Source organism: Homo sapiens, chromosome 4 (genome assembly GCF_000001405.40).
Source record: "Homo sapiens chromosome 4, GRCh38.p14 Primary Assembly".
NCBI lineage: Eukaryota > Metazoa > Chordata > Mammalia > Primates > Hominidae > Homo > Homo sapiens.
The window spans coordinates 85,747,464-85,768,553 of NC_000004.12; the positions used below are offsets into that span (position 1 = coordinate 85,747,464).

The window sequence follows — 21,090 nt, forward strand, 5'->3', positions numbered from 1 at the left end:
GAGGCCGAGGTGGGCGGATCACGAGGTCAGGAGATCGAGACCATCCTGGCTAACGCGGTGAAACCCCGTCTCTACTAAAAATACAAAAAATTAGCCGGGCGTAGTGGCGGGCGCCTGTAGTCCCAGCTACTCGGGAGGCTGAGGCAGGAGAATGGCGTGAACCCGGGAAGCGGAGCTTGCAGTGAGCCGAGATTGTGCCACTGCACTCCAGCCTGGGCTACAGAGCTAGACTCTGTCTAAAACAAAAACAAACAAACAAACAAACAAGCAAAAGCTGAAAATTGAATATCTGCTCTTTACATTTAGATTCTGAAATAGAATAATTTGTAATTTTTTAAAATATATTTTAAAATCATTAAGGACAGAACCTAAATCATCAGGACAGAACATTTTATAAAAATGGTGCTGTGAATAAGTAAAGAAGATTTGGAGGGGACAATGTTTTAAAATTTTGTGAGTGACTTTAAAAATAAGAGCGACAAACCAGGTATCCTTTAAAACCAATTAGACTTTTAACCTAGCAGCTTATATCTGTTCATGCCTAGATTGTTTGGCTGTGTGGAAGTAGTTTCTTAGTTGACAGATACAAAATACACAGCAATACTGCCCTCTACAGGTTCCCTGTAAGGCAGGCACTTGTCTTGCAAGTTTTTAAAAGAACCCTAACCTAGAGGAAAGACTTCAAGTGCTTTTGGCTTTGATGTCTTTAACACCAGTGAGCAACCTGGCCATCCCCTACCTCTATGCATGTTGACCACCTACTCCAAACAAATTACACAATCCTCCTTGTTTCTCCGAGCATATGGTATTAATAGCTCTTAAAAGATTTTTACTCTGAGGTCCAGTAGAAATCCGTAACTCCCTTTCTCATACATATGCCATGCTGGGGTTAAGAAAATATTCTGATAGGCCAGAAAGATAGTTAAATATACAAAATCTGGTGAATTTGTTCAAGATTGAAAGCAGTGATACTGCTTTATAGTCACATCTTTTATTTGTAGTACAGAAAGTAATTGTAGATTAAACTCAGTTGTTCCTGATAACAAAAACTTAAACTTAGAAAGAATATATGATCCAGACAAAATTAACAGCCAAGTATTTGGACGTTTAAATAAAATGGGAGTATTTTTAAATTGTGGATATATGAGAGACACAGTAAGAAACTGATATATGATGCAATATATGCAAACTTTGAAAAAAGATTTACATAAAAATAAAAATGCCAAGAGAAAGAAATATGTTTTATCTCCCAAGTATGATGCAGAAAGACAGTATTTCCTGTGCATAAGAGCAAAATTAGAATGGGTTCAAGTCTCAGTGTTGTTCTATACTGTGGAACTTTGGCAGGTACTCAAAGAAAACTTGCCACAAAGCCTCAGGATCAGCCTGAACACTTTACTTGACAGTCTCTGACACAGTGTTTCTCTCCGGCTCTTGTCCTCATGTATCCTGGCACATCTGCATCATTCCTGTTTCTTGTCAGGCTGTCTCTCCCTCAACGTGGCAGAATACGGTCACCAACAACTCTAAAGATGTTACACCTCTAGTCATACAGGCATACCGGATGGCTTTTTCTTAGCTCTTACCCCAAATTTCTGGGAACAGGACTCCAGCCCAACATGAAATTGAGCATGAAGTGCTCTATTGTGACTAATCAGCTATGGCATCAGGATAGGGACTTGCAGAAGACACACAAATCTAATATGTTGTCTTTTTCTCATTTGCCGAAGGTAGATTCTAGGAATTCCTTCAACTCTTGCTCTACAAGCAGTCTCCAGTTTACTAAGCTTTACATTCAAATAGTTGCTTCTTAGTTGTTGATTGGAATTCAGAAAACATTTCCTGTGCCAACTATGTTATTCCATATTGTTATGTCCTTAGAAGAGTCTCACTCCATTGCGAACAAACAAAAATTTTAAAAAGCTAGACTTCTATATGTCTGAAAAATTATTACCAGTTGATATAGGAGTCATAGAAACCACCCACCAAAGATTTTTCAGGACTGCTCTATTCTCAGACAATCTTGTCGGATTGTCAAACTAGGCATGCCTCTTTATTGTTTGAAAACTACAACCCCCACAGATACAGTTTTTTGTTATTGTTGTTGTTGTTTGTTTTGTTTTTTGAGATGGAGTTTCACTCTTGTTGCCCAGGCTGGAGTGCAGTGGTGCAGTCTTGGCCCACTGCAACCTCCCAGGTTCAAGTGATTCTCCTGCCTCAGCCCCCTGAGTAGCTGGGATTACAGGCACCTGCCACCACGCCTGGCTAATTTTTTGTATTTTTAGTAGGGACAGGATTTCCCCATGTTGGTCAGGCTGGTCTTGAACTCCTGACCTCAGGTGATTCACCCACCTCAGCCTCCCAAAGTGCTGGGATTACAGGCGTGAGCCACCGTGCCTGGCCTCCACAAATATAGTTTTAACCATAGGTTGTAGTGTTAGTTTTAAAGAACAGTGAGTTCAGAGTTTCCTCTCTGTGGTCTCAGCAGCAGCAGCAGCAGCGGCAGCAGCAGCAACCCTCTCTCAGTCATGCATCCATCCATGACTGCATGCAGACAGACATCCATCCACCTGCCCCTCACGTACTGTGCCTGGCACTGTTCTAGACTCCAGGGAGACACTATTAAACATGATGAAATGTCAGCTGTTCTGGAACTTGTTTTTTGGTAGGAGAAAATTTAAAAATAAGCAAATATATAAATAATCGTCAGTTAATGTATAAGTGTCAGTTAGTGATAAGTGCTATGTTTTTCTTTAAGTAAAATAAATCAGGGAGTTGTGATATGGAGTGATTTGGGAGTCTATTTGGATAGTGAGATCAGAGATTTCTAAATATCTATTCAGCAGCTATGGTTCTATAGCCAGGACAAGGGGCTCCAGCAGGGAGCATTAGGAACCCAGGAGACTGGGAGGGTCAAGATGACTTGTTATCTTGCCCCATGACAGATACTTCTTAATCCCAGAGTGGCTCCATCTCACCCTTTTTCTAGAGCCCAGGGGATTAACATGACTCTTTTCATTCCTTTTTTTTTTTTTTTTTTTTTTTTTTTTTTGAGACAGTCTTGCTCTGTTACCCAGGCTGGAGTGCAATGGCACAATCTCAGCTCACTGCAACCTCTGCCTCCCCGGCTCAAGCAATTCTCTTGCCTCAGCTTCCCGAGTAGCTGGGATTACAGGTACGCACCACCTCGCCCAGCTAATGTTTGGATTTTTTGTAGAGACGGCATTTCACCATGTTGCCCAGGCTGGTCTTGAATTCCTGACCCATCAGGTGATCCACCCACCTCAGCCTCCCAAAGTGCGGGGATTACAGATGTGAGCCACTAGGCCTGGCACCATTCATTCCTTTCTATCTTTAGTCATTGTTTCTTCCACTAAAAAATGTTCCTCTTCCCTGTTTCACTGCGGGGCAGAAGTCTCAGAGATCTCTCTTCTCTTCTACACAGTTTTGTTGCAGGTATCAAAGAGTGTTTTCTTTGCCTTTCATAATAATTTTTAGAATACTACACAAAGAATAAAAGAAAAAATTAAATGCCACAAAAGAATACACATAAAAATAAGTTTTTCCTGAGTTACAGCCTTCAAATCATCAATCTCTCTGCCCAGATTTATAGACATATATGTGTGTGCACATTATTTATGTGTTTATTTATAAATCAATATGATTCACATATAAGCATTCACTTGTCAATTTATAGAATATATTGTTCTTGTTATGTATCTTGTTTTTCATTTAATTGATTTTAGATATCTTTTTATATCAGCAAATATAAATTTACTTATTCTTTTTAATAGCTGCATAGTATTCCATTGCATGGGTGCAGAATATTTAGATTTTTTTAATCCAGCTCTTAATAGGTATTTAGGCATTATGCAGTCTTTGTTGTTAGAAAAAAACCTGCAATATCTTATAAATGTATGTTGACATGCTAGCTGACTCAAATATTATGAGTGTGTGTATTAAATTTATATATTAGGATGGCCATAAGAAATTCTGGGGTTTATAGGCCAAAATCAGTCAAAAATTGGCAATGTTATATGGTTTAACCTAAGATACATTGCCAAATGTTTTTCCAAAGCTCTCAGCCCAATTTTGTTTGTTTGTTTGTTTTTAATTTCTAACAGCTGTTGAAACAGACAAGTAAATGTCTTGGATGCTAAGCTCTGCTGGATAAAATGAGAAAACAGTGTGGATTGTAAACACTACAAAAGCATGGTTTCCTGTTAACTAGATCCACATTTCCCTTCAGGATTGTTCCCAGGAAACTGCCTTCCCAATCCCTCAAGTTTGGATGAAAGCACCATTATAGGAATTAGGTAGTTGAAAAGGGGAGAGGAAGAAATATGGACCTGGACTCCCAGTGGGCTCTAGAATGACATTAGGTAAATCATTTAACCTCTCCAGTTTGATTCAAATAATGAATACAGATACTACCTTAAAAAATACATGAGACAATGCCTATGGCACTGCCTAGCACAGTATTAAGCACTGAATTCTAGCTTGAATAAATCAAACTTCCCTCCCTCTCCCTTCCTCCCTTGCTGCTGTGCTCTGAATATTCAAACTATGGAGATGTGGCAAGGAAGAGTGTGCCACTCCTCGCCACATAGCCATACAAGCATTAACATGCATCTGGAACCATTTCTGCCCTGAAGATAGAAGCACTGAGCCACTTCAGTCATCTAACAGGTGCTCACTCTGCCTTACAGGTGAGTGGTATGGGGAGTGTCCTCAAAGTCTGGCATCTGGATAAACTGTAATTCAGGCCCATTCGGTGTGTGCAGTTACTGGGGAGCCCAGTGAATAAGTACAGTTTGTCTCAGTGTTACCATCTGCCATTTGCAAAACATTCTGTGCCCACCAGGAAGCATCCCTTCCCTTTTTCAAAATCTTCACTCAGAACATGTCACCAGAGAGAACCCCACAACTCCATGAAGCACACATTCTTGCATCAGTGTGAGTTATCTTTGCTGAATGCCTTTGTGGTTATTTTCTTGTTACATTAAAAAAAAAAACTCAAATACTGTTCCATATTCTGACGTGGGTCTTATTAAAATGTTAATCAATCGGTATTAAATATTAAGGCACAGCACTTTTTTTACAGATGAGAAAAGTGACAATGTGCTTACATGTTTTGGAATAGTGAAGGGAGCACCACAGGAGCTGGAAAGAGACAGGCTTGGGTTTAAAACCTGACACTGGTACTTGTACCATCATTTCTGTCAGCAAATTGCTTCACTTCACTGAGCATCAGTTTTCCTCTCTGTAAAATTGCACTAATAACACTCATTAAAAATACTAGGTTGTATTTCTTGTGTGTTACGAGAGAAGACAGATGTAACGTGCCTAACACCTTGCTTGGCACAAAGGAGCCCTAAATAAATGTTAACATTGATTTATGATTCTCTATATTAATCTGGCACTAGAGATACTTACTTCTGAACATTACCAGAATTTCATTATTGTAGAGGATTTATATAGCCAGGGATAAGGCAGTGAATATTTTCACAGCACTGATTAAAATATTCTTTTCAGGAGTAGGAACTGAACTTTTTTTCAGTTATCTGGTTGATGTTTAATTTGGGAAAAGGTTTTCGATGGATATAAGAGGATGTGAGAGTGAAGAGATAAGATATCTTCTGACACCTTCTTGTGACTGGTGTAAAAGAAAAGAAAGAATGTGTCTTTTTGAAGCTATTGTTATACTGATTAGAAAGCCCATTCGAGAATGAAAAATACAGATTTAAATTGTATAGAGATGTTCTAATGGTAGGAACTTTGTAAGTGTATTTTTTTCTTTTCTTCTATTTTTCTTCTTTTTCTGGGTTATGGGCATAGTAGACTTGGTACCATTAGAAATGTTACTCCTTCCTTAGGACTTAAGCCTATAAAGAGGAGGAAACTCAAGTACATATATTTATAATTTTCAGACAGTTAGGTAGTCATTCTGTAGGACCTTCATTTCAAAGCCTCACGTACACATCAAACTATAATAAGACCTGCCTTTACTCTGTTTGCTAAAAAGTCTGTCTCTTAATGTCAGGGTATCATCCCAGCCTTTGAACTGGCACATGCTTCACAGAGTAATATTTGGAAGTCAACATTTCAGTAGAGCAATTTATGCGCCCCACATATGAGTCTTTACGCACTGGTTAATGGCTTCCTCAAATCCTTGTCTGTTAAATTGGTTTTGAAAAGAGGAATGCTCCCTTTTCTGGCCTATTTACAGATCAGCCGTCATTCTTCTGTATAGCAATAGTTTTTTCTAGAATTGTGCTTATTAAGCAATGTCTTTCATTGAATTTTTTAATTGATATATCATAATTGTGCATATTTTGGGGGTGCATGGGATATTTCAATACCTATATACAATGTGTTATGATCAAATCAGGGAAATCAGGAGAGCCATCATTTCCAACATTTATCTTTTCTTTGTGTTGGAAACATTACAATTATTCTGTTCTAGCTATTTTGTAATATACAATAATATACAATAAAATGTTGTTAACTATAATTTTTCTATTGCCCTCTATTGAATACTAGAACTTATTTTTTCTATCTAACTCTGTTTTGGACCCCTTAACCAATTTCTCTTCATCTTCCTCTCCCCACTTTCCTTCCTGGCCTCTGGTAACCACCCAGCCTCTGGGAACCTCCTGATCTCTGGTAAAAACATCCACTTCTTTGGCTTCCACATATGAGTGAAAACAAGTGGTATTTGTCTTTCTGTGCCTGGCTCATTTGACTTAACATAATGACCTCCAGTTCCATCCATGCTGCTGCAAATGACAGAATTTCATTCTTTTGTATGGGTGAATAATATTCCATTGTGTACAGATATCACATTTTCTTTATCCATTCATTTGCTGATGGACACTTAGTTGATTCCGTATCTTGGTTATTAGGAATAGTGCTGCAGTAAACATGGAAGTGCAGATGTCTCTTCAAAGTACTGAAATTTCAATTAGTAACTCCCATTGACAATGCACAGCAGATTTTCTCATGCATTGTCCTTATGAGAGTAAGTTTAGTGATGTTTAAGTTCTCAGACTCTTCTATGGAAAGACACAGATTGAAATAGTCCTCAGAGAAGAGATAAAGATACATACGACAGACAACACAATTTTAAAGGTCCCACTTAGAATTCTGGGAATTCATGAAGAATTCAATACTTCTTAGACACAGAATTTTAAATTCCAGTGAGTGAGGAATGTCTAAGTTTGGTTCTTGACAATTTATAAAGACCAGGAAGAGCAATTGGTAAAAGGCTTGAACATCTGCCAAATACTACAAGCAGCCAGAAATATTGGAAAGGGCATGAACTTAGATCAGAAGAACTGAATTTAGTCCTGGATGAAACTGTTGTTATCATGCGACACTGAGCAAGTCCCTTAATTTTTTGGTTCCTCTGTTTACAAGTTTATAAAATTGGGATGATTATTTCTGTCCTGTCTACCTCCCCGGGTTGTTACAAAATCAGATTAGGCGAAGCGTGTGAAGGATCCCTGTAGCTAAAAAGTGCTATTCAGATGCAAGGCCTCAGTATAGATTGCCTCTATAAGTTCTGCAAGCTTTCTGAGGACAAAGAATGTATCTTTGTGTCACAAACCCTATATTAGGCCCTGAAAGAAATAAGTGAAGGAACCTGTTGCGTAAATTTGGACAGAAAAATACTGGGAAGTGATTTTTCCATTCCAATTTTCTGTGAGGTTAGTTGACATTTTTTTCTTGAATCATAAAATGTAACTTTTTTTTCTTATTTACCATCCCAGTGTACTTATGGGGACAATTCTCCCTTCATGCTAACTAATTTGCCTACATCCTGTAGGTGAAGGTCTATTGTAGAGAAGTCCATTCCTTATCTCAGTGAAATGTATTTCTAAGTGTACATGAGGTTAGACACCAGAATTTAGATACCCCTACACTTGTAGACAAGAGATGGCAGGTAAGGAGGTGCTCATCTCCAGCACATGAGTGTCGCAACACATCAAACGACAATCACACACTGATTTCACAACCCCAAATTCTTCAGTGACTGAAGAGCATGTTTTCTTCCTTAATTTTATTGGAAAGTGAAAATATTCCCTCAGCTGTCACCACTGCTTCAGCTACTGACCTAAGGGTGGAGGGAATCTTGTTCTATGGGAAGCTTCTATTCTTTTGTTTTGTTTTGTTTTGTTTTGTTTTGAGACGGAGTCTCGTTCTGTTGCCCAGGCTGGAGTGCAATGGCGTGATCTCGGCTCACTACAACCTCTGCCTCCCAGGGTCAAGTGATTCTCCTGCCTCAGCGTCCTGAGTAGCTGGGATTACAGGCGCCCGCCACTACGTCTGGCTAATTTTTGTATTTTTAGTAGAGACGGGGTTTCACCATGTTGGTCAGGCTGGTCTCGAACTCCTGACTTCAGGTGATCTGCCCGCCTGGGCCTCCCAAAGTGCTGGGAGTACAGGCGTGAGCCACCGCGCTAGGCCTGGAAAGTTTCTATTCTTTTATACCAATTGTGATTGGTAACATCAGGCTATTGTTCATGTCCCCCTCTAGCAAAAGATAAGCTTCTAAGAAATGCAATAATGTTTAAGATTATAATAGATGATACAATACATTGATCATCAATGTATTGTAATGTATGTATCATTATGTATCAATGTATGTATTGATGTATCAATACGTTGAGGATACATATCTTACAATAGATTACAACAGATGATATAATACATTCATGCCCATTTGATTGTTTCTTAATAGTTAATAAAGTAGCTGATTAAACTAAATGTTCCACACAAATACAAAATAATTGCAATTATGTAAGCTGTTCTATACATTTAATCAAGAAAGAATACATTTTTAGGAACTGGACATTATGATCCATGCCTAATTTACCTTATAAAAATCAGAACTTTAACATTTGACACTGGACTTCAAAATGCTGAAATTCCTGATCTCAAAACTTTTTGATCATAATATAATTTTAGGGCATTAGTAACTAGTACTCTCTTCTATTTATTACAAAAGGACTTTCAGAATCTAGTTCTTCATTTCCAAAAAGTATAAGAATCAGAGTTTCATAGTAAAAAATGAGAAGCTTTAAAAATATAAGTCAAGATGCTAAGCAAGTTCATCTCTGTATCTTTTTTTTTCCAATGACTTGAAACATTTCAGTGACTTCAATGCCTTTGAGTTAAGAAAGTCTTGATACTGTTCAGAGAAAAATTCTCCTAAGTCACACCTAAGACAGTGTCAAACCCTTTGCCACCATTTGTGTATTGTTTGCCTCTCTGGCAAGGTGTTTCGGCTCCTGCAGTTGGGTGTGTTTTGCTGACCCCTGGGGCTCAGGAGCTGGTTTATTGATCTGCAGTATAATTCCAAAGCCCCGTGTTGACCAAGGGAGTTTGAATTAAGACTAGGATAGTGGAAGCCCTTGGCTGGACTGGCTCTAATCCTATAGCAATAGTCAAAGAATAAATTTATCTCTGGGTATTTATTGGAGCCCCGAGTAATCTTAACTGTGTTTCAAAACTGTTTTTTCATCTTTATTTTTGTTTTCTGACCAGAGTAGCACAGTGTCTGGTTTCTGGAGCACAGTATTTCTCTAGAGGCCAGATAATCTTTCTGAGCCTGTAATGAGTCAATTATAGCACATTTGGGCCAGGCCATCTCCGTCTTTACCCAAGTCTACTTTCATCCTGATTGGAACACTGGGGGATATACCAGACACTCACTAGAGGGCAGCAAGGGGTCAATGCAACCAATTCTTTTTTTTTTTTTTTTTAATTAAACTAAGTTCTAGGGTACATGTGCAGAACATGCAGGTTTGTTACATATGTATGCATGTGCCATGTTGGTGTGCTGCACCCATTAACTCGTCATTTACATTAGGTATTTCTCCTAATGCTATCCCTCCCCTCTCCCGCAACCCCACGACAGACCCCGGTGTGTGATGTTCCCCACCCTGTGTCCAAGTGTTCTCATTGTTCAATTCCCAGCTATGAGTGAGAATTTGCAGTGTTTGGTTTTCTTTCCTTGCAATAGTTTGCTGAGAATGATGGTTTCCAGCTTCATCCATGTCCCTACAAAGGACATGAACTCATCCTTTTTTATGGCTGCATAGTATTCCATGGTGTATATGTGCCACATTTTCTTAACCCAGCCTATCATTAATGGACATTTGGGTTGGTTCCAAGTCTTTGCTATTGCGAATAGTGCCGCAATAAACATACGTGTGCATGTGTCTTTATAGCAGCATGATTTATAGTCCTTTGGGTATATACCCAGTAATGGGATTGCTGAGTCAAATGGTACTTCTAGTTCTAGATCCTTGAGGAATCACCATACTGTCTTCCACAATGTCTGAACTGGTTTACAGTCCCACCAACAGTGTAAAAGTGCTCCTATTTCTCCACATCCTCTCCAGCACCTGTTGTTTCCTGACTTTTTAATGATCGCCATTCTAACTGGTATGAGATGGTATCTCATTGTGGTTTTGATTTACATTTCTCTGATGGCCAGTGATGATGAGCATTTTTTCACGTGTCTGTTGGCTAATGCAACCAATTCTTTAGGAACTTTCTGGGCTATATTATGTGCTTTGGAAGAAGAAGGGGGAAAAAAAAGCCTAATGGTTTTAAAAGCGTATTCCCTACTACTTCTGTCAAAAATACAATGGCGTCAGTGATCTATGCTTGTAAGTATGTGTGTTTCACCAAAACTGAAATAAAAGACAAATATAACCTACTAGTATAATGAGAGGAGACTGTCAATGCCAAGGAACGTATCAGTTATCTTCCTGAAGATAGCCGTGTACCTACAAGAGTGAGGGTCCTCAAAGGGAGCCTATCGTGTATGCCCATGCGAGGAATCAAGCCACCTGTGAGTGGATGTTAGGAGAGAAGGCCTAAAGACCAGCAGTGAGAAATGAGGGATAGTGATGCAACCTCTCTAGTAAGCAGGGGTGACTTGTAGACAATAGATGGCAGGTAAGGAGGTGCTCAACTCCAGCTCATGAGGAGCTGAAGTCCCCCAGCTCCTTATAGGTTGCATGTTTGCAGGGAGGAATATCACTCTCATTACCTTCTGATATTGTCTCCTAAGGAAATTTGGGCAAGAGGTTGTAAGCATCATGTTTTGCAGTTTTATGCTTTTAAAAGAGATGATCCTGGCACCTCATTGCACATGGGTGCGTTGGAGGAAGGCAAGTGGGAAGATGGACAAGGGGAAGGACTTCGCGAGACATCATAAGGAGGAACAACCTTGTGGAAGGTGGCAAGGACAAGATGAAGACAAAAGAGAAGAGTGGTTCAAATCTTCATGCACCACACAGTGAGCATCAAAGGCATACATATCAAAGTCTTTGGAAGAGGAGAATATTAAGAACTGTTAAGGAAAATGATGCGTAAATCACCCCAGGACCGTTCCAAGGAAAAGAGAGGCTTAGCATTCAGAAGTTGCTATAGTTTTGCTGATGAGGCTTGAATATGAAAACTATATTATTATCCTTTTTATCGTTACGCTACTTCTTTGAATGTATCTCACAGGACAGCATGAACTGTATAACTCAGCTTACAATTAACAGAAAAAAAATTGCACTTTAATTCCCAAATTTGATTATCAGATGTTCAATGAAGACAAATACAAAATAACATTGTAGAATCTTGCTTTTATCCCTAATACTGCTGGAAAAATATTAATCTCAATTTTAGTTTTTCCCTATGTATCATCTGGGGACCCCTTGCATTCAAATCACAAACAGTGAAATCATACAATAATAACTTTAGGAGAAAGAATTTAATAATGACTGTAGAAGAAAGGTATAACCAAATGTTAGAGGAACATAAAGAAGGGAGAAATTACTTTTTGCCAGAAGAACCAGGAAAGACTTAATGGAGAAAATGGCACCTGAACCAGCCCTCAAAATATAGATAGGATTTTTACCAGCAAAGTTGTGAAAATATGCTAGCAAAAAGGAAGAGAATAATTAGTCAATACCACCTTGATTAGAGAAGGAGGACTGATGGCTGTAATATTGGCAAAGAAATTGAACTCAGATTATAAAAGACTTTATGCAGAGTCTAGGGGGGTGGGTTGAAACTTACTCAGCAATCACTTTGGCAGGTATCCACACCGAGTCACATGATCAGAATTGCACTTGAGGATAGTTTCTCTGTCTATAGGACTGAGGCTGAGACTGGAGGCAAGGACGTGTTAGAAAGTAGGCGAAATTGTCCAGGTCTGGGGAAATTAGGCTGTGTAAAAGGACAGTGGCAGTGGGAATGGAAAGAAGGGTGGTACATGAAACAGACATTAAAGGGGGAACAAGTTGATTGTTAGCTTGAAACTCTCAGCAGGCTTTATCAATTCTTGGAATGAAGGAAAATTTCTCCCTTCAAAAAACCTTGTATGTTGCAACCACTTAGGATGTGAACAAAGACAATTCATCTCCATTTTCAAGGCTCAGTAGTCAACTCAGAGATGGAGACAAGAGGACTTAAAGATGGGAAGAAAACGTGTCTCATTAACTCACAGTTCCAAAATGTTACAGATAGCTGTGGGGTTTTGGTTTCATTTGGTAAAAATCAAATGAACTTTTTTTCCTTATTTCTTCTGAAGAAAAAAAATCAGATTTACTAAATGACATGTTAAAATGTTTAATTCCATTTATTCTTTAATTTAAACAACACAAAGTTATTTCAATGAGACATCTGATTTTAATCCCAAGTAATAAAAAACAAAACCTAAACATTGGCCTAACTGAAACGAAGTCTAGTTTAACTGGTTCAGGATTACATTATTTTAATATTCTATAATATTGCTAAAATATTATTCAGTGTTCACTATGTGCTGATTAACCTGAGATCTATAGTAATATTACATATCAAGGTTTTGAAAATGTTTTATGACTGACCGAGTCATGAGTTTTGGTTTTTTGCTCCTTATTTGTAAATGTTTCAACCATATGAAATGCCATTCTTTTTTACTGCAATGGAATTTTACATGCCACGTTTAAGAAACAGAATTTTCTACATGAGTCTTTCTTTAACTGTAGCATTAAGTTTCCCATATGGCAACAGAAATGACATTTTATTTCTGCTATTTGAGTAATCTGCTTCCAAACAGGAAAAGTGGGGAATAGGACCAAAAAGTCTGTGACACTTACCTTTGGAGCAGTACTTGAGCCAATTAAATCATTGCCATATGATGTTGTTTGGACCATAATTGCTATCATAACAAGATGCAAGAAGAACAGAAGGCCCGAAGCCAAAAAACAGAAGGCCCGGAGCCAAAAGGCCCGGAGCTTGGAAGAGTTCAAGTCCTATCACTTTAGCCATTCTTACATATTGCATTCAGGAGACAGTTGACTTGCCCCACGTAGTTAACAAATTGAACAGCCCAACTGTGTCTCATGTATGTTTTCTGCTTTCCAATCTTGACAGATGCACATGTGTTATGTTCCAATGGCTCTCTGAAAAATATTTCTTAACTACCTGACACTGCTGGTTTTCAGTCACATATCAGCCCTACTACAGCCTATCAATAATTTAAAACATAAATATGGAAAACAGTAATGAGACCTCTGCAGCCATTGTACTGTCGACAGGAAAAATGAAGACATGGTAATGAGGAAAACATTAGTCTGATTATTGCAGGAGGGAGACGTTCTCAATCTTTTGTGGTGGTGCATCAGCCACAATTACCTCCCCAGTAGTGCTTCAGATCACAAACACCTTGGAGATAGCTGGAGTTCTTCCTAATTTGATTCTCTCTTGTTATTTCATGTTTTATCACAGTTAAAGAAATACGTGCCCAAAATCTCATCAGTGCAGCCAAGATATTTCTAGAGATAGTTCTCCAGGCCTTGCGATGGCTTCTCTTTAGTTTCACTGTGGACTCAGTAGCTGAGAATGCTCTCCTCTCCCAATCTCATCTCTCACCATTCACTGGCATCCACCTAAAAGAGTCCATTGGAATGCATGGGAATCTTTACTGGCCTTTGGTTTATGTGAGTGAATTCTCCTATTGATTCCTCCAAGCTGGAAGTAGCGATCAAGAGAAGGGGAAAGATAAAACTGAGTGAAAGTGGTTAAAGGGAAACCAATAAGAAATACATTTGGAAATCTGACTAGATTGGTGAAGACTTTTTTATTTTAAGGAAGAGAAAATCATGTGATTCCAATGTGTGGGTCAAATGAAGAATGAATGCAGTATGAGAACAGGGTGGAGACTCAGATTACTCAAAAAGATGCCTAAAATATATGTTATACGTTTTCCGTGAGATGTAATGAAGGTGAATTTCAGAAGCAGTGGCTATCTCAAGGTGCAGCAGCTGAGGTGATGTCTTTTTACCTCAGGTTACTACAAACGCTTTAACCTTCTGGATGCTGGCTGTTCTTTTCCTGGGAAAAGCACAGCTTTCACTGAACCAACAAATGGTTTTAAGGTGCTTGCAGAGAGAAGGAAGACTGAGTCCATAGTAACCGCTGTATTATGATCAACAGTCCTATTTTGTTTCTTCCCCAAAGTTCCTGTTTATGTCTCGCAGCCTTTATATTGACTTTTTAAGAACTCAGCCAGTTGGCCAGTGGCCATGGTAAAATTGCACCACCAGTAAGTATAAATACATCCCATCAGTGGACACATCTTCAGTATTCTACTTAAACTCAGTTCTCCATTTGAAGTGTCATGTGGTTATGGGTGAATAGAGAACATTATTTAAGAAAGAATGATTTGTTTAAAATAGTGCCCAAATACTAAGCTACATTACGGAGCAACCATCAGTATCATTAAGAAATTTCATTCACTTTTATTTTTAAAAACCTGTAGCATGCTACATCATTTGCACATTAATATTTGACTCTGTAAGCATTTGGCTCATGTACAGAAAATCATATGATACTTTTTCTTTGAGAACGAGAAGGAAAGGAAAGACAGCGATTGAAGCAAGATCCAGGAGAGGGAAAACACATGCCCTGCTGCCAGCCTTCCCATTTTCTCCACCTACTCTGTACCAAACCTAATTAACATAAGCTAACAAATATTATTATTAACAAAACTGCGTTGTTTTAAAGGTGACTGTGCTTAGCAATTTGTGTATTTTAGCTGAATCATTCTTTAAAACAAATGTGTGAGAAAGATAGCTCTATCTTGAAAAATAGGAAATTGAGGGGAAACAAAGTGTTTAAAAACTTTGCCCAAGGTCACATAGCCCATGAGTGAATGAGCTGGGATTCTTCCAGGTCCGTCTGACTCCAAACCCCAAGTCCTGGCCAGAAGCTCCTCCAATGGCTGACCCAACAGGAAATAATTTCCTATTACACTTATGTAAAGAATTCTCTCCTGTGCCTAAAATAAAGAGATTTACTCTATACAGTTGGTTTAACTAGCGTAACTGTGAAGATCAACAAGCTTAGAAATGCTATTTTCTTTCTTTTAACAAAAGAAAAACAAGATGACAGGGTATAAAACAAAGAATCTATTATTTCGTTTCCAAATACACATTTTAAATTTAGTGACACAATAGCTTAAGTCTTCTTTTGGACTATTGATTTTCCTATTATTATCTAAAATGAAACATTTTTAAAAGCACCATTTTACCATTTTTTGCATCTTCAATACATTGTATTAGTATTTTGGATATATATCCACTGCCTGATTCTTATATTTTATAGTTGCAGGAAGCTACTATTCGAAGTGAAATAATTTGGTGTTGTTATTTAACTCTGAAAAAGCATGAAATATAGCAATCATTTGTGAGAAATCACTGACTTTCTGCTAAGGTGACTAGGCCATTTTTTTTATATTAGGCAAAAAACCAAATGCAGCAATCAGAATTGTATCCCATTTAATGTTATTTGCAAGAATGATTAACCAGGATGCCTGGGGCGCTTACATAAACAGCTGTGTCTTGTATTTTCCAGGTAATAAAACCTCTTAGTTTGGCATCTTGCAGGGAAGCCATTAGATCCACCCTGGTGCCACTGGAATAACTGAGGTCCCATAGGGAGGGAACACCTACCAACAACAAGAGGCAAGGGATAGGGTAGATGAGGACGAGGCCTGGATTGGAAGTTCAGAATGAAACTACCAACCAGTAAGAATGTAGAGGAGCCCAAAGCCTTCAGAGGCAAAGGGGGGTGTCTGGAATTACTTATTCATTTATTTTTTGGTTTGTTTCTTTATTCATTTATTTCTTTATTTTGAAGAGTGAAAATGTTTCAAATACTTCTCCCAAAATATTACTAGTAATTCATTTATTTCTTTATTTTGAAGAGTGAACATGTTTCAAATACTTTACTGAAATAATAATGATGGAGTAACAGTCTTGAGTTTTCAGAAGTATATGATGTACTAATAAATACCATCCAAGCAATCACAAATGTATGCTTTCTTACCAGGCATACAAGAACTAGAGTCCTTCACAATGAAGGCTTTCACAAAATGCAAAAGCAGCAATAAACAGAATTGATATTTACATTAACATTGTACATAAAATCCAAAAGTCAGCATCCTATATTTTTAATATCAATGTACATATCATACTTTATTTTTAATGTTAATTTTCCATCTCTCCCAAAAAATGTAAGATCTGTAAGAAAGTAGATTTTCAAATATACATATGTATAATTTAGCATCACATGTCATGCTGAATACCAAGGAGTTTACTAACAATGAGAGTTTCTGGAAGAATTTATTGATGGTTTCCTTTTACCACCAAGAAATCTCTAAGCCAAATTTTCTTTTCTCCAATTTTTATTTTTACCTCTTCATACTCAATTTTAAATTTATTATCATAAAGAGAGATGCTGAAGGGATCTGCTTTTCTATCTGCTATAGTGTGAGGGCTCTCGTGTGGCAACATTTTACTGTTGTTCTCCCCTGCTATCATCAATGCGTTAAAAGGAAGGGGATTCTACACAGGAATACTAAACAATCAATAAAACGCATTCCCAAGCAATATTAATGTGATGGAGTCACTGCAATTTGATTAGTGACCTTTTCATTCTTTGTAGAGATAACCTTTATTGATATCATTAACCAGATAAAACACAGGTTTGATGCAGCTCTTTTAACCACTGAGCTTGGTATTGATTGAGAAGCAAGATGTGAGATTTTGTTAGTGTTGAGCTGTTTACAGAAACAGGAGGTCCATTCCTCCCCTTTTCTTCAGCCCCCAGAGTAATTGTTTTTTTTTACCAGCAGTGAATACAGAGGAGAAACCAAGGACATTTTCTGACTTTTGTTTCTATGAACAAAAGCTATTTGGGTGAGGGATCACTTTCTGAATGCTCACAAGGAAAGAAAGAGGCATTCTATATTAATAATTTTGGTATGGCTTAAGTAGATCTCCTCTTCGTTACTGTAATTCTCAAAGATCTCTCATTATACAACTACTTATTAGCATTTGCAATTCAGAAAGTTTATACTAATTCTGCCTGTGTTTATGTTTAAACAAACCAGTATACTTGTTCCTTGCCCCTTGAAAGGCATATGTTATCATAGAGAAGATCTAGAGATTTTTACCTTATCTAGAGATTTTTGGCCCAAATGGCATATTAACTTTGAGGTTTGTCTGTGTCTGCTTCCATGCAATAGAAGTGGAACATTTGTTTGACTTTTTAAGTGAATGATTTAGCCTAAGAATCAAACTTTACATTTTAATTCCTGAAACTAATATTTAAATGAAAGTAAACTCTTCAGCTGAATACACTAGATATGCTACAAAAAAAGGTGTGTTTTGTGAAAGGTAGCTATTGCTTAAAATTGTATGTTTTAACGTAATATGGTAAGCCTGACTTGAAAATAATTTTATGGTTTGTGAATTGGATTGTGCAGTGAGTAGAATATTAGAGCACACCTGCAAGTGGCATTAAAACGTTTTTGTTTTAACTGATTCATACACTAAGCTTAGAGCATGTAGGTGTGATCTATGGATTCAAGATGAATGATTAATGTTTACCCAATAAGCACTAAGGAAAATGAGTTGAAAGATTCACTAAGGTCCATGTAATAAAAAAGATTTTGGGGGTGATATGGAAAAATAATTAGTCATGAAAAGGGTTTATATATTTTCTTACATCTCCAAGCATGATAGTAGTTTAAATAGAGAGTTGTAGGCATATACTACTCTTTACAAGCTTCTGGTATATTAAGAAAGAATATAATTAGATAAAAAATTACTACTTACTTGAAGTTTCAGAGGGATAAAAAGTAACAAAATAACCATGGAAAGTAATGGCAATAGTAAGAATGGATATGAGTGTTTATCATGAAAATGGAAAAAATACTCCCTAATTCTAGGTTTCAAAGACAGAGACCAGCTTTTCCTATGAAAAGTACATTTATAAAAATCAGTGATACCCACTCTATTTTAAAACACGAGATCTCACATACAGCACAGTTCTTTGGTTATAAAGGCTGAAAGCCGAGGAACAATAAATTTACACTCAATTGCATAGTTGTTTTTTGCTTTGGGGTGTTGTTAGATTTTTTGTAAATTTTTTTGCCAGCAGGAATTTATTTTATTTTCACCCTTATGAATTACGGGGTACAAATTTTGAAACTGTTTATCCACTGCACTTAATCATTAGTCAGATTTCTTGTACTTCACAATCTGCTTTCAGCCTAAGGTAATATCAACAAGGTGATACAAAATCAGAATATTTAGAGCCCGGGGAGGAAAAGTCATCAAAATCATGACCCTATTTCCTAATCCTGAATATTGTGATTGAACCATTCTTCTCTATATAGATGAAGGAAGTAGAGATGGGGTACGGGGACTGGCAATCAGAGAAACTGGCACATAAAAAAGAAAAGATAGAGAAGGAGACAATCATAACAATATTAAAAGAAGAGTCGAGAATTTTCTGTACTTACATAGAGGTCTTGCAACTTAACACATGAAAATAATTCCTTGCTCTTCAGCTGCCATAGCATCTCTAGGTTTTTAAAATTGAACTATTCTTTTTAGGTTATTAGTGTCCAGATCTTTGCCATTCACTAGCAGCAACACTTGGGAACTTGTTAGAAATTCAAATTCTTGGATCTCTACCCTGGAGCCATAATCAGAATCTGCATGTTTAAGCAGATTTCCAGGTGATTCCTATGCATGTTAAAGACTAATACGACCCCACATCTATTGGCAGAATATGCACATGTTCCTTGGAGACTAAAGACAGTGAACAACAAAACAGCATGTAAAAAAACAGATGAAAAATCTGCTGAGGTGAAAGCATAAATAGGAGGAAATATAAAATTCCCCTTTTATGCCAAGTGCTTCCCACTTGAGAATAAATCACTAAGGTCATTTACTAGCTCTAACTTGAGAACCACAAACTATACTGGGTTCACCTGCCTTTCACTCCTCCTCAGAGTCAAACAAAAACTCTCACAATTTTAATATTTAGCAAATACAGTCATGCACTGCATAACAATGTTTTGGTCAACAACAAACTGCATATATGATACTGTTCCCATAAGATTATAATACCGTATTTTTACTATGTCTTTTCAATGTTTAGATATGTTTGGATACACAGTATTTACCATTGTGTTACAACTGCCTACAGTATTCAGTACAGTGCTATACAGGTTTGTAGACTAGAAGCAATAGATTATACCACATAACCCACGTGTGTAGTAGGCTATACTATCTAAGTTTGTATAAATATACTCTGCAACATTCACACAATGTAAAGTGGCCTAATTGCATTTATTATAATGCATCCCCATTGTTAAGCAATGTATGACCATAGTTGCAAATGATGTGTGTTTATTCTTCCTAGCTGAAGTCTTCAGGTAATAATATTTTAATGTTTTGATTATAAGTAAACTTAAATGTCTCTCCAGATTGCACTGCTGCCAACTGACCATTTTTATATGGACATGTCTTTTTTAGATGTAGTTGGTTATGTATGTATTATGTCACCATCATACACATATATACACACAGAGAGACATACATACACCTCACACATTCACATGTGAATGCTTCATCACCTTTATTACATACCCTAAAATTACAGCATGCTTTATGGAATTGCTGTGGAAGAGGAAGAGGGGTTGTCTGTATGAGCCATAAACACTGGAAACTTGAACAGAGCATCCCAACAGCAACAACAAAAGCAAACTGAGTACCTGGGAGGGAGGAAAAAGAAAAATGATACCTGTTCTTTGGCATATAGATTACCCCAAAGGGGCAAATTATTAAAGAAAAAGAAACAATGTTTTAAATTTTCAGTAGCATATTATAGTCATGGTAGAACAGAATATTTTCTAGCTGATGTTAACAAGGATCATGTATGATTGCAGAGAGAAAGGCTCTTAGCAAACTATGACATTCTTGGTGAGAGTTAAACTCTGTTACCCTGTTTTTGTCTGCCAAATGATCCTGATGTGTAAACTGGGGAATAGAGTGCATGTTTGTATATATAATGCTACAATGCGTACACTATTAACTTCTGTTTATAGCTTGGCCTTTGGAAATGGTTGTTGGGGAAAGGAATTGCTCTAAACTTGAAAATCTTGAGGCATTCTGAAAGATAAACAGTGTTTTACCAAGGTGGGAAAGGTGTCAAAGAGACTGGCCCTCACAGTCTCAGAACAAAAATAGACTGTTTATATGCGGCTGCTGTGTTGACCATGAGAAAAGAGAAATAAATTGGCGTGACAACTTGCAAACATGTTATAGCAAAATGTTAGCAATAAAAATAAAATAATTAAAAAGAAAGATGAGAGTGAATGAAAATAGCATGGCAAGTAACAGTTTGATTTATTTTTTTATTCAAAATCTAAAGATTGGATTTAAAAAAATGTGAAAATCTAAAGTCGTCCACAAGTACCCAATGCTGTGCATTGTATAAGGACTTAAGGAAACCATAAAATCAGTATATATGAGCTCAAAGACAGAGTGATAATACAGCAGGAAAAGAATGCTTCTGAGTTGAGCAGGCAAATTAAAATCTGAAAAAAAGCCTTTTCAAATCTAACAAATAAAATCAAGAATGATAGCTGGGCGTGGTGGCTCAGGCCTGTAATCCCAGCACTTTGAAAGGCTGAGGCAGGTGGATCATGAGGTCAGGAGTTCAAGGCCAGCCTGACCAACA

The 21,090-nt window shown here is 37.4% G+C and overlaps 1 protein-coding gene across 2 annotated transcripts in view; it reads left to right on the top strand.

Annotated features, from left to right (window-relative positions):
* The window catches only part of ARHGAP24 (Rho GTPase activating protein 24), a 527,517-nt gene that overhangs the window by 272,314 nt on the left and 234,113 nt on the right, over positions 1 to 21,090 (top strand). The window lies entirely within an intron of this gene.